The sequence below is a fragment of the Homo sapiens genome, chromosome 11 (assembly GCF_000001405.40).
Source record: "Homo sapiens chromosome 11, GRCh38.p14 Primary Assembly".
Classification (NCBI taxonomy): domain Eukaryota; kingdom Metazoa; phylum Chordata; class Mammalia; order Primates; family Hominidae; genus Homo; species Homo sapiens.
The window spans coordinates 20476931-20493758 of NC_000011.10; the positions used below are offsets into that span (position 1 = coordinate 20476931).

Sequence of the window (16828 nt, forward strand, 5' to 3'; positions counted from 1 at the left end):
ATAAAAGAATAATACGGACTAGAGTAGGTAATATTTTCCCTTAGAAGAATATCTCCTAGCTAGCTAGCGGGAGGGGTCGATCCCTTTTGATTTCCCGTGTCTTAAGCACAAGATCAAGCCCTTCCCTGTGGCCAAGTTCTTGGGAAGACCATCAAAATAAAGCTGAGTTTATGGTTTATTACAGTAAGGATGACCACTACATTGACAGTCTTAATAGCATCTCAGAGGAAGGACGTGAGAATATTTATGAAATTCTCAGCAGGTCTTTCAGTGTGTGCATTGGAGGGAAAAGGTCCTGATTAGGATTTGGCATGAGTTGAGAACTGGTAGACACATCAAGGGGTGGGTTTTAAAGTGAGTCTTGGCCGGGTGTAGCAGCTCACGGCTGTAATCCCAGCACTTTTGGAGGCTGAGGCGGGCAGATCACCTGAGGTCAGGGGTTCAACACCAGCCCAGTCTCTACTAAAAATACAAAAATTAGCCAGGCATGGTGGTGCATGTCTATAGTCCTAGCTACTCGGGATGCTGAAGCAGGAGAATCACTTGAACCTGGAGGTGAAGGTTCCAATGAGCCGACATAGCACCACTGCACTCCAGCCTGGGTGACAGAGCAAGATTCCGTCTCAAAAAAAAAAGAGTTGAAGAGTAAACAGCATAGTGAGTCATCTGTTCTTGACGGGAGGGTATTTACTCTCCTGAGGATTCATTGATATATCTGTTGTTCAAATAAATAGATTTTCTTGAGGTACCTGAAACAAATACCTTCTTCTTTCTAAGCAGTAGCTTCTGGAATAGCAGATAATTGAATAGTAATGTCGTATTAATAGAGATAGTGAACTGTGTGGCCACAGAAGGTTTTGGCTTAGGAGAAACCCCCCCCCCCCACTTCCTGTTTTGCAGCACAACCACCAGCTTCATCCACTCCAATAAGTAACGTGAGGGAGAATTGGTTTGAAGAGAGGACCAACTCTGCCTTTTGGATTTCTCCAAATTCCAGGGAACTATACTAGTGTACCAGTGCACTGGGCCTGGCTAGTGTTTCCTTGTCCCAGCAAAGTTCTTGTGACTGTGGCATTTTTGCTACTTTACCCACTACATGGGCCCTAGCATTGGGCAAACGCCCTCAGGTATGAAAGCAGCTGTTTTTGCTCAGCTAGGAAGAATTTATTCCCCTCTGGAGACAGTTATTTAGACCTATTTGCAAGTAAGACTCCTCTGTGGTTTTAATGAGAAATGTTTAGTCAGTCTAGTGTTTTCTTTTTGTTATGTTAGAGTGAGGGTCTTTTTTATGTTAGAGTGAGGGTCTTTTGCAACCTTCTACATCCTAATTAGAAGTCATCCTTGGATAAATTGCTTTTTAAAGCCCAAACTGGAAAATAAATCTGGGCCTACATATTTAGAATTTTAGAAAGTTCAGAAATAAAGTTAGGAAAGGTAAATGAAAGTAAACATAAGTTAGTGAAGTAAAGGTAAATTTCATGTTACCTTTCAGTTCTCAATTCAGTTCTTTGATGATCTACTTGATAGGAGTTGAAGGCTGCAGCAAGCAATGATTGTACCACTGCACTCCAGCCTGGGTGACAGAGTGAGAACCTGTCTCTTTAAAAAAAAAAAAAAAACTACTTGATAAATGATAGAGATATTTAAAAGGTACCAATATTTAGCTTTGGATGGAATCAAAACAAGTCTTTCAGTTACTGAGTTTTTTAAGGCTAATGCAATTGCTATTAAAAGAAACTTTAAAATGTTTACAGTTCAAACCAGTGATCTCTTAGTCATAATACTCTGTTTTCATTTTACTTTTTAATTAAGCTTTAAATTTTTCTAATGGCTTAAGAAAAAACTTCAAGATTAGCCCATTTATTTGCAATTGTGTTCTTTAAATCTTATAATGCTTCTGGAAAATCTCTGACAGCAGAATCCTACTAATTCTAAGCTTATTTCTAGGTATTAAATTAGCTCTTAGTACTTTTTGTTGTAAGTTGACCTAATTTTGACCTTACAAAGCTAATCAGCTAACGAAACTAATTATTAAAACAATTATTAAAACACATCTGTGCTGCTTAGAAATAGTAAGATTTGTCTTGAACTTGCATCATAGGTTTTAATGGGACATCTGGTGTATATTTTAATAGGCTTCATTAAGTAAATTTTATGTCTTGGGGGAGAACATTTCTCATTATGTGATCCCACCTCTACAGTTGGTTTTAGGCTCCTCCTTGTGAATGACCATGTGGTCTAAAGTATGGTCTTGAACTTTCTACTCTGCTCTGAAACCTGAACCTTTGTAGCTGGGCTTAGGTGGTGGTGCGAACATTTAAATCTCTTCGTTTATTCTCAGGAAACGTTCTTTGAGTAGTAGCATATGCTAGGAGCTGAGAGGTATTGGGAATGTAGTAACAAGCCACACCCGATAGTTCCTCTATTCAGGAGGCATTAATAGTGGAAACATAATAAAATTCACCCTATTTGCATCACTACCTTTCAGTGGAAAAAATATTCACCCTATGGATATTAGATAATACTAAAGAATTATTGAATTATTGAACATTTGGTTACATGTGATAAGGGCATTCTAGTTATCTAAGAAAATGTCCGTCTTTTTACAGACGCAAACTGAATTTGGAGGGAAGAAATGACATAATATAGGGTACTTGCTCAAGAGATTAGGTGAAGTATGTGTGCCGAATATAGGTTTGTCAGAGGTTCTCTAATTGTGTATGTTTGAAATTTTTGATAGTATTTTTTTAAAGAATCTCACAACAATAAGAAACGCCTAAGAGTGACGAGGCAAAAGTACTGCACTGAGATAAAGATATTTCTGTATATCTCAGCCACCTGCTATAGTTACCAAAGCTGAACACATGTTTACCCTGTGTCTTAACCATTTCCCTCCTGGATCCAGATACACACACAGAAATATGTTGACATGTTCACCAAAAAAAATGTTCAAGAATGTCCATTGCGGCCTTCCTCAGCCCCAAGCTAGAAAGTAGGATGGGTAAATGTGGTATATTTATGGAATAAAATAAAGCATTGAAAAAGAGATGAGCTTGGCAATATAGCACAACATGGATGAATTTCATGAACAGTTGATTTAAAAAGGGGGGAAAGGCTGGGCGCAGTGGTTTACACCTGTAATCCCAACATTTGGAAGGATCGCTTGAAGCCAGAAGTTCGAGATCCATCTGGTCATGGACATCAGAATAGTGGTTACAATTTGTGGGGTGACTTGATGGGAAAGGAGCATAAAAGAAGTCTCTGGAGTACTAGGAGTGGTCCGTATCTTGATCTGGGTAGTGGTTATACAAGTGTGTTCACCTTGAAAAAGTTCACTGAGCTGCATCCCAATGATTTGCTCACTTCTCTGTGTGTGTATGTGTGTTCTATGTAAAACCAGTGGTTCTTGCGTTAGCTAGATATCTGTTTTTTTGCTTGTATATAGTACTTCAGTTGAAAAGTTGACCAAAGCCAAAAAATGTCTATCTGGTGGTCAGTAGTTTGATAGGTTTAAGGAGTTGAAAGAAGCCTAGGATGGCTGGGACATGTAGATCATAGTGCTAAGAGATGGAAAGCACCTTGTGCTATTTGGCCGTTTCAGTTGTGATGTTTTTTAAGTAGAGTGTTGTGATCAGAAGGGCCCTTTAGAAAGATTGTGGCTAGAATATGGAGAACAAAGAGGAGACCACCAGAGTGGATGTGGGAGGCCAATATGTAGGTTATTCTAGTAGCTTTGCAGTGACTTACACAAAGGCAGTTTTAGCGGACTTGTTCATGAGTTACCTAAGAGATAAAATTGACAGGACTTGAGAATGAGTTAGATGATGGGGAGTGAGGGCAATAACTCCCATTGCTCTCAGTATCAATGATGACTCCAAGGTTTCTTACATGTACAATTTGAAAAATTATGGTCCTGTCAAAGAAAATTGGAAGAGCAAATTTAGAGGTGAGGATCAGATGCTCAATTATTAGTACGTTGAATTTCATACCTTTGAGTTATGTAAGTAGTGATATCCAGTAGGAAATTGAAACACAGTTCTGTGGCCTGTCTTGTCAAGTCATACTTGTGACATATTTGGCCCAGATACATAAGAGTAGGAATCAAAGAACATTTTATGAAAGACTTTTTGAAAATATCCATCAAAATATGCTGCTGACACTTTAACAAAGCATTTTAAACAATGATAAAATTACATGAATGAGGATGTATTTTTTAACCTATGCTATTCCTTGAGGCTGTTGGATTCCAAAAGCTTGTTTTTTAAAGGAAATCCAGTGGAGTAGCATCATATGCAGATATAATTTACGCAAATTAACTGCAAGCATTCAGGTAAAAAAAAAAAAAGTCTGAGAGAAATAATGGTCTCAGTAGTACAGATGATTCTGCCCTCCTTTTTAATTGTGAACATGTGCCCCAAAATGAGCATGATGTGAGAAACACATCTGCTGTTTCTTTAGTAGATTTCTGTAGGATGAGCATCTTGCTAGACTGCATGATTGTCTTTATAAAAGTGTGTATTTTTAATACAATATGGCACTCACTATAAGCCATCTACTTCATCTGGAGCCCAGCCAAAGAAATGGTGATTTGTACCATTGCTTAAAGAACGGGTTGTATTGAACTTACTGAGGGATAGTTTATATGTTAGTCTCTAAAATGACATCTTAAGAGATTTTCCAAGGTAATTTTGAGATTTTTCCCATATGACTTATCCTCTGCAGAATATGAGTACTATAAAATAATGTTTTGTCTTATTACTTTGTTTCAAAGGGATTCTGTCTAGTTCTAATATTTTCCATATTTGAAGTCCAGGTGCACCTTATGCATTGCTCTCCAAATTTACTTCCATTTGACTTCATTTTATCCTTCATTTTTCCAACCCTAGAGAGTCAAGAGCCCTTGAAACTGGACCCCAGAGTATTTTAGCCTTTTAAAAGTCTGTATTTTTTTCAACCCATTCTTTGTGTTTAGCTTTTCTGTCTACTCTTTTTGGAAACATTACCATTATGAAAAAATTATTAAGAAGATAACGTTTCCTGCTTTGGAAAACTTTTAGGTATATGTTCGTTGCCTAGAATAGTGGGAGGAATCGCCTGTAATACTGAAATCATATTTGAACCTAGTCAGAGAGAATGCAAAAGTCCACAAAATGAGGAACCCTGCAGTTGAGTAAAATAACCTGTCCATAGAGTTAATAGAGATTCGTGTGCTTGATCCTCTTTTGAAAGCCATGCTGAAAAATAATGCTTCTGAATTTCTGTAATTCATTGTTTAAATTTCAGAGACATTAAAGAAATTTTATCAGCATTTTAAAAAATTCTGATTCTAAAGCCTCCAAGTGAGTGATATTATAAAAGGATTTGAACATCAAATTGTCCTAAAATACAATTTGAGTGGAATCTTAAAATTCTTAAGCTATATTAAAATCATTTAATTCTAGATAGGTATAGGTTTATGCTTGAAATCAGCAATGTTGAAGGACAATAAATTCTGAGAAATTAGCAGGACTAGAATATCTATCTGAAGTTTAGCAATAAGCACAAAATAGTGTATTTATCAAATAATCAATAAGAGTGGACTCTTGATTAGAGATGTCAGAGGGGTTCTCCCTAGACTTATCACAGAGGCTGTCAATTAACATTATTAGATTGTGATAAGAAATGAGTTGGACCAGGTATTTTCCTTTTTGATTCAGCCGGTTACCCATGGAGTAATGACGTATAAGGAAGTAATCTTCCCAAGTTCAGGCTTATTTTAACTTAGGCACTGACAGACACCATTATGAATATTGGCATTAAGATCTTCTAAAAATCCTGAAGTACCTAATGTTTACAGACATTTTATGTATATGTATGTATTAACAGGAGGAAATCACTCCTCATGGAAAGACAAGTCAAGTCAAAAATTTGGAAAGACAAGTCAAGTCAAAAATTAGAAAAATAAATTTGATATATATACCAGATGGCTCAGAATATACCTTATAATATTTGCCAGATTTTTAGTTCCCACTCTATATATCAGGTACATAACAGAAGGGCTTAGGTGGTGAGTTGGTAGCTATCTTTCTACCTTACTTTTCAAAAGAGCAAAAAAAAACTATTCATTTCAGAAAATAGGGTATATCACATCTTCTATATGTCCCCCTTTTACCGTCTGTTAAATCGTTGTTTCAGTGTTCCATCTCTTAATTTATACTATTGAAGGGTTGTAAAGACAAGTAGCATTTGGTAGAACTTGGTCACCTAGACACAAAAATTAGTTTTAATATTTTTCAGTTTTAAACTTCTTCAGCAGTCATAAAACTAATTTTTTTATGCTGCGTTGATTTGTAAATTCAGTGTATCTGTTTTGTTCAGGTGAACAAGTGTATTCTTAATATTAAAATATAATGTTTACTTACGACTGATAGTATCTTCTGTCATTTGAGGAATTAGGAATGGAACATAGGGCTTTTGCATGGATAGTTTTGGGGGAAGATTGGAAAGCAGCACAAAAAATGGAATATAAGGAAACAGTAATCATTGATATCAAGCAGTGGAAAACCGATGATGTGTGAGGGAGCAGGAGAAGAGAAATCTAGAGAAGCAGTGGGCTGCAAGCCTTTTTAAATGGCAGAGATTGCCAAAAAAAAAAAAAAAAAATACTATGCAACATCACTTTTCATTCAAACATGGACTGAACACTATGTGTGGGCTTCTGTGCTAGGCACTATGAATACAACAAATAATCAAAATGTAATTTCTAGCCCTAGAGACATTCATTTAGAAGGAGAGGCCAACATAAATGGAGAATTGTAATGTAGTGCTCTATAATAGAATAGCAGAGGCATATAAAAGACACCCGTAGCCTTGTATACTCTTCCTTTCCCTGATCCCTGCTCGTCTTTAAGGTTTTTACTTTAAGTATGGCTTCTTCTTGAAAGCCTTTCTAATACCATATGTATTGTATTAGTGGGAAGTAATTAATTGTACAGATGAGGGAATATTTCTCTGAAGTTGTTGCATCTGATAGCAGTTTTGAGTTAAAAATAGGAAGTTATAAGTTACAGCATCATCATTTCCTTTTACCAAAGGTTGGGACAGGTTGACCATATCTCTTTATCATTTAACAAATAGTTTACTTAATAAATCATACTGATTTCCTATAGTCCCTGAACATTCCAGGATATTTCATGCCTTCTGTGCAGTTTCACCATTTAGATAGCATGCCCAGGCATGCTTAGGCAGTGAGGATGCAGAGGCGAACAAAGAAATGGTAAGACTGCCCTTAAAGGGCTATTGGGATCTACAAGTGAACAAAGACATTGAACAAAAAGTATTATAAATATAGTGAGTGTTATTACAAGGAGTGCAGGAACATTTTATGGATGTATTATACCCTACTCTGGGATTAAAGAAGGCTGCCCAGAGGAAATAATATTTAAACTGAGACATCACAAATGAGTTAGTTTAAGAATTGGGGGGAGTGTTACAGTGATATGGTTTGGCTGTGTCCTCACCCAAATCTTGAATTCCCATGTGTTGTGGGAGGGATCCAGTAAGAGGTAATTGAATCATGGGGGCAGGCCTTTCCTGTGCTGCTGTCATGACAGTGAGTCTCAAGGTCTGATGTGTATTATAAGGGGGAGTTTTCATACACAAACTCTCTTTGCCTGCTGCCATCCATGTAAGACATGACTTGCTCCTCTTTGCCTTCCACCATGATTGTGAGACTTCCCCAGCCACGTGGAACTGTAAGTCCCATTAAACCTCTTTCTTTTGTAAATTGCCCAGTCTCTGGTTTGTCTTTATCATACAGGTAGGGGGCCTTAGGTAGGAAAAAGCAATACAGTAAATAATCTTCCTCTTTGTAGTGGTAAGCCACATAAAATGGAGAAACCCTTTTGCCGAAAACAGCTACAAATGCCAAAAAAAAGTTAAATGCTATCTGTTTGAAGTTAACAAATAAGGAAGTACTACTAAGCCAAGACTCAGAAAAGAAGGTAATCTGAAAAATGAGACTAACAATTGGGGCTGCTTTTGCCCTATAGGCATTTACCAATTCAGAGGAAGGAGCTGAAAGACTTGTGTAGCCCTTTTGATATTGCTCACGTGGATAGGAATACAAAGTGGGACCCTAATAGTTTTGCAGGACTTTGCATTGGGACTGTAAAGACTGTGCCCAAGAATAAGGTATGAGAGAAGTAAATGAACACTTGCATGGACTACAGCACAGCTTCAAGTCATCTGGGTGGTCCAGGAAGTCTCAAACCCTGATATTAGATTAAGATCTCGGTTTGCCATGCCCCCAGGTTCCTTGCAGAAACAAAAATTCTTTCTAGAAGATTATTACAGGTTTCAAATTATTTTCACAAAGTTTTTCAAATATTAATGTTCAAAACATATTCAGAGGTAATCAGTCACACAAGGACACAAAACAACATGAATCAAGAACCAGTTGAAGCAGTAGACAATAAAAACAGAGCTCTAGGTGCTCCAGGAATTAGTTATAGCAGACATAGGTTTTGAAAAACTATGCTTACTAAATTCAAAGAGAAAAAATACTGCAAATTTTAACAAATGGAAACATTTTTTAAAATACGGTTTGGAAAAGAATTGAACAGACATTCTAAGACCAAATTAAATATGATTTGAACAGCAGATCTTCATGTATTAGTGTAGAGAAGATCTGCGAACTGGATTTTAGGGCAGAAGAAAATGTCCAGAAAGAAGCCTGGAGACATGCAAGAATGAGACAGAGGGAAGGGCAAGAAATAACGTAGATACAAGAAAAGGTCTAATTACATATACATGTAAATGGGCATCCCAGAGAAAAGGAGGATGAGAATGTTACAGTATTTAAAGAGATGATGGCTAAGAATTTTCCAAAACAGATGAAAGCAACAATTTAAGAAGTCAACATAACCTAAATAGCATAATTTTAAGATTGTATCCAAATGTAGGTGTATATCTAAGAGAAGTGAAAACATGTCCACGCAAATGTTTATAGCAGCATTATTCATAATAGCTAAGAAATGGAAGTAATTCAAATGTCTATCACCTATAGAATGGATAAGTAAAATTTGGCATATCCATGCAATGGAATATTATTCAGCTACAAAAAAGAATGAAACACGATACAACATGGTTAACCCTTAAAAACATTACGCTAAGTGAAAGAAACCAGTCACAAAAGACCATCTCTTATATGATTCCATTTAGATGAAATATCCAGAATAGGTATATTTGTAGACACAGACTGGGCAAGAAGAGAATGGATGGAAGATTTCTTTTGGGGGAAATGAAATGTTTTTAAAATTAGATTGTAATGATGGTTACACAACTCTGAGTATACTAAAGAATGTTGAATTGTACAATTTAAATGGGTAAATTTTTTGGTATGTGAATTATACCTCAGTTTAAATGAGGGAAGAGAAACCCACACCTAGACATATCCTAGTGAAACTACAGAAACCAAAGAAAAATCTCAAAGTTGGTGGAACTATGGTGCTGGAATTACCTTTAAAGAAGAGCTAAGTAGACTAGTAGATAATTTCTATAATTGGTAAATCTTCAAACTGAATACAGCTGTGAAACCCACACCCAGATGAAGAAACAAAACATCTCAGCACCCTAGTAGTCCCCTTTGTACACCTACCTAATACAGGGCATGTATGCCCTGTATTAGCCAGGTGCACAAGGAACAATGGAATTCGGGGAGCAGGGGAGAGGAACATTGTAATCAGAAGAAAAAAAGACAGAAGAAATTGTAATGATGACATTATCACTGTGCTGCCAGAAAATAACTGCCAACCCTGAGTTTAACCCAACTAAGATTTCTTCTAAGAATGAAGCTGGACAACTTGGCTGGGCACAGTGGCTCATGCCTGTAATCCCAGCACTTCGGCAGGGCGAAGCAGGCAGGTGGCTTGAGGTCAGGAGTTCAAGACCAGCCTGGCCAACACGGTGAAACCTCGTCTCTACTAAAATTACAAAGATTAGCCGGGCATCATGGCACACACCTCTAGTCCCAGCTACTCGGGAGGCTGAGGCAGGAGAATTGCTTGAACCCAGGAGGTGGAGGTTGCAGTGAACTGAGATTGCACCTCTACACTCCAACCTGGGCAATAGAGTGAGACTCCATCTCAAGAAAAAAAAAAAAGAAGAAGAAGAATGAAGCTGAAATAAAGATATTTTCAGATAAGCAGAAAAGAAGAGAAAGAATTTGCCTTAAAAACCTGTGCCAAAGGAAGTACCGAGGGATATTCAGGCAAACAGCAAATGATCCCTGATGGAAGGCCAGAAATTCAGGAAGGAATAAAGGTGAACAAAACTGGTAAATATTTACATACCAGTAGTTCTCTTAGGTATATACCCAATGGCCATGTTATGTATATTCACAAAAACCGTTCAAGTGCCTGTCAGCAGTAGACTAAATTATATAGTCACATATACCTTACGGCCATGAAAATGAATCATCTGCAGTAATGTAGATGAATTTCATAAACAATATTGAGGAAATTAGCCAGACACAAAGGACTGCCTGATGTATGATTCTTTATATATTGAAGTATAATAGGAAAAATGAATCTTTGCTTAAGAGTATTAGGATAGGTCGTTAGAGGCATAGGTGCATGAGGGGGACTACTAGGGTGCTGAGATGTTCTGTTTCTTCATCTGGGTGTGGGTTTCACAGCTGTATTCAGTTTGAAAATTCAGCATGATGTACACTTATGTGCACTTTTCTGAATGTACATTATAAAGCAGTTTCTAAAATGAAAAATCAGTAAATTTCAATGAATATGGGTTGTATAAAACAATTTTGTGTTTATAGCTAGGAAGAAATGTGAGGTATCAATTTATGAAATGTCAAAATGAAAGTATTCGTGTTACAGACTCTGAAGATGATTTTTGCCCCCTAAAACCACTTTAATAAGCAATTTTGAAATTACAAGGAAGCAATCCCAAATAAATTTAAAAGGAGTTTCAGTTATCTTGAAATATTCTATGTAGATCAGAAATAAATTACATTGTGTTTTTCAATAAAAGTATTTTTAAAAATATTTTTGGACTATTGCCTGTTTTACTACTTCCCATATTGCTTTGTCTATTTTTTACCACCACTCAATCTGGCAGTATCTCTTGAGACGTATATGGCACTTAATGTGTATTGTTCCCTAGAGGAGAATCATGAAAGAAAAGGTGCAGATTTTCTCTTGGGATACAATAGAAAATTAATTGAAAAAGAAAGAGTCCGTAATTTAATGTATAGTTACAATTGGGGAAAAAATCATAATATATAATTTTCATATTTGTTGATTATGTCTTCTTAAACGCCATTTATTACTAGCACAGTTCATGCTCTGTATGTGGCAGCTCGTATAGCTTATGTTTGTATTTTCATCTCCTTGGTTTATATATGATGATCTAAGCTATAACAGTCATTTTTATGGCATTGTCTGCTTACTCTTTCTTTGCTTGCTTCAGACTCATCAGTTGGCTTTTGCATTCCATATTGAGATTTTGAAAGAAATACTTCAACGAAAAATGAATTGTATTTTTGTTATAGTGATTCTGCTGCATGGATTACAAGCACTCTATCTCCATGCTTGGATAAACTCCATCAAAAGCACATTATCCTCCTACTTCTGTGGCCAGCTGCCTAATTGTATCTGCTGTAACCACATGCTGTTGGAACATGATACCAATGAAGAACAGAAATGATAAATTACTCCCTGCAGGTGATAGTGATAATGATAATTTTTAATTTCCTTCTTCCTCATAAGGTCTAGTCTGATCTTATTTCATTGGTTGCCATCCTATTACATACACACAATGTGTCCTCTTTAAAGAAATATTCATCACACTAAAATACCTGAGAAAGTCATTTTTTATCCCAAATCATTGTTCTTCAAATGAGTGTATATTAAATGAACTGCATTTACCTTTATACATATAAACAAAACATGGCTTAAAACAGATTTTTTCATGATTCAGTTTACAAATGCCATGAGTTTTCTTTTTGTGAAATCCACAAAAAGATGAGTTCTGAAACTATTACATGCTGAGGAATATTTAAGATGTACAACAGAGCTCCATGCTTGTATTTTCCTATGTGCATCAAAGTAATTGTCGAGGATTCTCACAAAATATCAAGAGTGATCAAGCTATCCCAGAAATTCACTATGTATACGTAGTTTCCTTTCATTCTGTTTTCTTCTATCATTGTTTTTGTTTTTTTACTACTTACCACTCATTCTCCCTTCTCTCACTCTAAGGGACTTTTATAACTAAACTTTTAGTTATAAATTTTTCTGACTGTGGTATAATTCAGTGAAATTTTATTTAACTGTGACCTTGCCTTTGCAGATTAACCCAACTCCTACAGATAGATTTTAATGCTTTTTTCCCCCTCAGCAGTTCTCATTGCCCCAACAAGATATATACGTGAGACAAAGGAGAAATTTCTTCTGCAGTCAGCCTTCAGACCTCTCTGATCTTTTACGAGCATATGTCAAGTTGTAGCTCCAGTTAGTTATTTGTTGCCATTGCCTATTAGTCATTATTTCCTATGGTTGTTTATTCTTATATTTGAATGACTTCCACAGAGATAATGTATATTCATTGAAATTAACATTTAAAAGATGTTAAGATAGCCTGTCAAAGTGATGGTAGCAAGGTGGCCAAACTGTAATTGAAAATAGTGGCATGTTTATATTTTCCTGACAAAATAAGTCATTTATTCCTAAATCAGCTGATATTTGGTTATATCATTATTCCTTATTTAATAGCTTTGCAGAAATAAAAACACTAATCATAATTCATTTGGTTTTATATTACTATGTTTCAAATTGAAGGGGTTTTTTTTTTTCTTAATCTCTTTTAATTAAGAGTTAGTAGCATGCAACTGTTGTCCCAGCTACTCAGGAGGCTTAGGCAGAAAGATCCCTTAAGCCCAGGAGTTTGATTTCAGTCTGGGCACCATAGCGGGACTCCATCTCTAAAATTAAATAAAAATTTTTAAAAATAAGAATCACACAGAAAAGAAAAGAAAAAAAGGTAACACCACAAACCCTGTCTCTTTAAGGGGCATTCTAGATCATGTTGGTGTTTGAGGGTAGACACCCATTTTAAAACCAGAAACTCCCTTTGTTTTTTTCAGAGCAGCAATCTTCCACTTTCTCAACTGTACGAATGCTGTCTAGTGAGTAGATAGATTATCTGCACACAGTTTGAATTTTAGGTGAATTCCTTCCTAACTTCTCCTCATGCTTCTGCTTTCTGTTTAATGTGTGCTGTGGAACTGAGTATTACTGTAAACCAAACCTCATTAGAAATGTGACTGTGCTTGAAGACTCAAAGATACTGTGAGGCATTTCACATAGATGCAATTTCAGATATTTGTCATAGATTCTTTCCAGTGCTTACAACTGAAGTTAACTATATCTGTCATTTTTCTTTGTCTTAAAACTTATTTTTTGGTTACCCAGAACTTCCCAGTATTTCTTTCACTATATTATTAAGGGCTGGAAATTTTTAACTGAAATTCATACACAGATTTGGAGATTGATTAATAAGCATGTGTGGCTGGACGTGGTGGCTCACACCTGTAATCCCAGTGCTTTGGGAGGCCCCCCAAAAAATGTGGGGAAAAATAAATCCTAGTAAGCTAATAAGAGCTTTTGTGAAAATTTGGGTTTAAAAGCAGCTTTTGTGACATCTTCAGATACATGAAGAGAAGCATTTCTAATTCTGATTAAAAAAAGACTGGCAATAAATATAACAGTTATAGAAGTATAATTACAGAAAGATGAGAGGCTGTTACATGAGTTTAAAACAATTTTAAAAGGTACACTAAAAATTTTGAAAACAAAAGGATGTTTTAGAACTATGGGTTTTCTGTTCTTGTTGTTCCAGTTTACCTTCTGAAGAACTTCTTTTAAAATGTTTCTAGAGGAAGTCTATTGGCAATGAATTTCTTTACTTTTCCTTGACTTGAAAATGCCTTCATTCATTCTGTCTAGATATAGAATTTTAAAACTTTTTTTTCTCCATCAGTGTCTTTTTCTTTTCCATCTGGACCACCAATGACACGTTAGATCTATAGGTCTCCAAGGTTCTATAACATGCATTTTAATTGCTGTCTTTTTCCCTTCTTCAAATTGGATAATTTCTATCAATCTTCAAATTCACTGATTTTTTCCCTGTCATCTCCATTCTGCTATTCAACCCGGAAGTTTCAGTTATTATAATTTTCAATTGAAAATTTTTCATTTGGTGCTTTTTTATGGTTTCTCTGCTGAGAATTTCTGTCTTTTGATTCATTCCATTGTGTTTTCTGTCACCGTTGGAACATGGTTATAATTGCTGCTTTAAAGTTTTGCTTGATAGTTTGAGCATCTGGATTATCTCAGAGGTGGCTTGTCTTTTCTCCTGAGAGTTGTTCAATTTTCCTGATTCTTTGTATGTTGAGTAATTTGAGATTGCACCTTAGATGTTGTGCATGCTATGTTGTGTAAACTGTGTGTCTTGTTAAAATCTTAAGGATGTTGATGTTTGTTGTTAGCAGTCAAGCCCAGTTAAAATCAGACCATAAGTTCTGTCTTAGTGTCCGAGCAGACAGTTGACCAAGTCTCAGTCACATTCTCTAAGCCTTTGTTATGCTGTTTTGAGGCTGTCTTACACATACCTAGTTTACGGATTAGTCTGAGACTTTTACAGATTTTTCCAATCTCACGTCAGTTCTCTAGGCCTTTACTTGTTGGTTTCGGTTTTTTTTCCATGCATGTTTTATCCAGAGGTTAATCCTGAGACTTGCAGCAGTGATTCAAATTTTAGTTCAATGCTCTAAGCTTTTGCTGTGTGGGTTTGGATCTCACCTGAAAATGCGTAATTTGGGGGTTAGGCTGAGACTTCTGCATTTCCTACATACAGAATTAGATCTTTTCTAGCTCTCTCCTCTCCATATTTGTCCCACATGTTCCATGCTTTTCAGAGTTAAAAATTATTAGTTCCATTCAAGTTCAGTTAGTCAATGCTTTAATAAAGTATACTGACTATGTAATAAAGCTAGCCATATTTGAGACTGAAGACTAAAAATTTTAATTTGGCTAAAATTTATTGAGAACCTACTATATAACATTGTATTGGGTAAGGGGCATAGAAGTGAGTTATACATATGCCTTGCTCTTAAATAAATTGCAGTATAAGGCAAACTGTAATATACTATCGTAACTAACATAACAGAATGTATAATAAACACATTTGCTCATCAAATATTGTATTGTATTGTATCCTATGGGCCAGGTTACTGCTCTGGGCACTGAGAGTATAGTGGTGAACAAGACAGGCATACAGGAATAAATAAGAAAACAGTTGAATTGGTCTGTGAAGGGGTATCATAAGTATCTGGAAATCAACTGATAAAGTTATATTTAGAAATATTCTAATTAACCACGTGGTTTTTATGATAATCTGTGGCTGAGTACTACATTGTTTTATAATTCTATTTGGCAGAATTATTACTAGTATTTTGATTCTCTCTTGGTATCTAAATTGCAGTGAACCTCAGGGTTAAATATTGAGTTTGGTTTGGACCTAATCCATATTAACCCTACCAGATCAATAAAATGTCACATTTTTAACAAAAGTAGCAGAGTACACAAATTAGCTTTACCATGATTTTTCAAAAAATCAGTGTCCTGTTTTTTACACTTTCTAAGCTTAATGTAATGCCAGCTTTAAAAAGTGATTAAGTCCAGCTAGTTCCAATAGTGAAAGAAAATGGAATGGTATTTAAATTTAACCAAAAAACTCAAAATTATGTATTTATCTGAGTATGTTAATTTCTTTAAGAGATCTTTTGTAGGCTGGGTGCAGTGGCTCACACCTCTAATCCTAGCACTTTGGGAAGCCGAAGTGGGTGAGTCGCAAGGTCAGGAGTTCGAGACCAGCCTGACCAACATGGTGAAACCCCATCTCTACTAAAAATATAAAAATTAGCCGGGTGTGGTGGCGCACGCCTGTAGTCCCATCTACTCAGCCTTGCCTGACCAACACGGTGAAACCCCGTCTCTACTAAAAATATAAAAGCCAGGTGTGGTGGCGCACGCCTGTGGTCCCATCTACTCAGGAGGCTGAGGCAGGAGAATCGCTTGAACCCAGGAGGCGGAGGTTGCAATGAGCTGAGATCCCTCTGGGCAACAGAGCAAGACTCCATGTCAAAAAAAAAAAAATCTTTTTGTACTATCACAATAACCCTTAGAGCTCACTTTGGAGTTTCTCCTTTGAGTACTTGCTTAAACATAAGATTTGAGTACTACTGTTCATTTTTTCAGGAAAAAAAAAATAAGTAACATTTTAAAAATCTTTATTTCATCACAAAAATATTCATAGTACTTAAAAACAGATATACTGGACTAGAAGAAATTAAATGAACTGGCTTTGTATAAATAGGATGTTTTAATTATTTATTGCTATGTAATAGCCCATCTCAGAACTCTGGCTTGAAGCCCAAACCATTTTTATCTGTTTGTTTCCGATTCTGCAATCCTGACTGGACTTAACTGAGTAGTGCACTTGCTGGTCCTTCCTGGCATCTTTCATGCCGCTGCAGTTGTCTGAACACTTGACTACAGCTGGAGAAGTCAAGATAGCCTAATGCGTGGGTGGACATCTCAGTTGGCGAGTGAGGATCAGTGAGGGGCCAGCTGAGTCTCTCTCTCCATGTGTGTTCACCTTTCAGTGGTCTAGCATGATTATTTCTCTAATAAAATGTACTAATTATTTGATTAGCCTTATTACCTTTATTATGTTGTTTCTGTGAGGAAAAGCCAAATTACATTACTTC

General features: G+C 36.2%; 1 protein-coding gene across 5 annotated transcripts in view, besides 1 other annotated feature; it reads left to right on the top strand.

The window, feature by feature from the left end:
* The window catches only part of PRMT3 (protein arginine methyltransferase 3), a 121623-nt gene that overhangs the window by 89215 nt on the left and 15580 nt on the right, over positions 1 to 16828 (top strand). The window lies entirely within an intron of this gene.
* Positions 13051 to 13100: a silencer, noted in NCBI's record as "silent region_3204". NCBI's record gives its function as "represses an Ori minimal core promoter by ATAC-STARR-seq in GM12878 lymphoblastoid cells {active_cell/tissue: GM12878}" and the evidence as "EXISTENCE:reporter gene assay evidence [ECO:0000049][PMID:35858748]".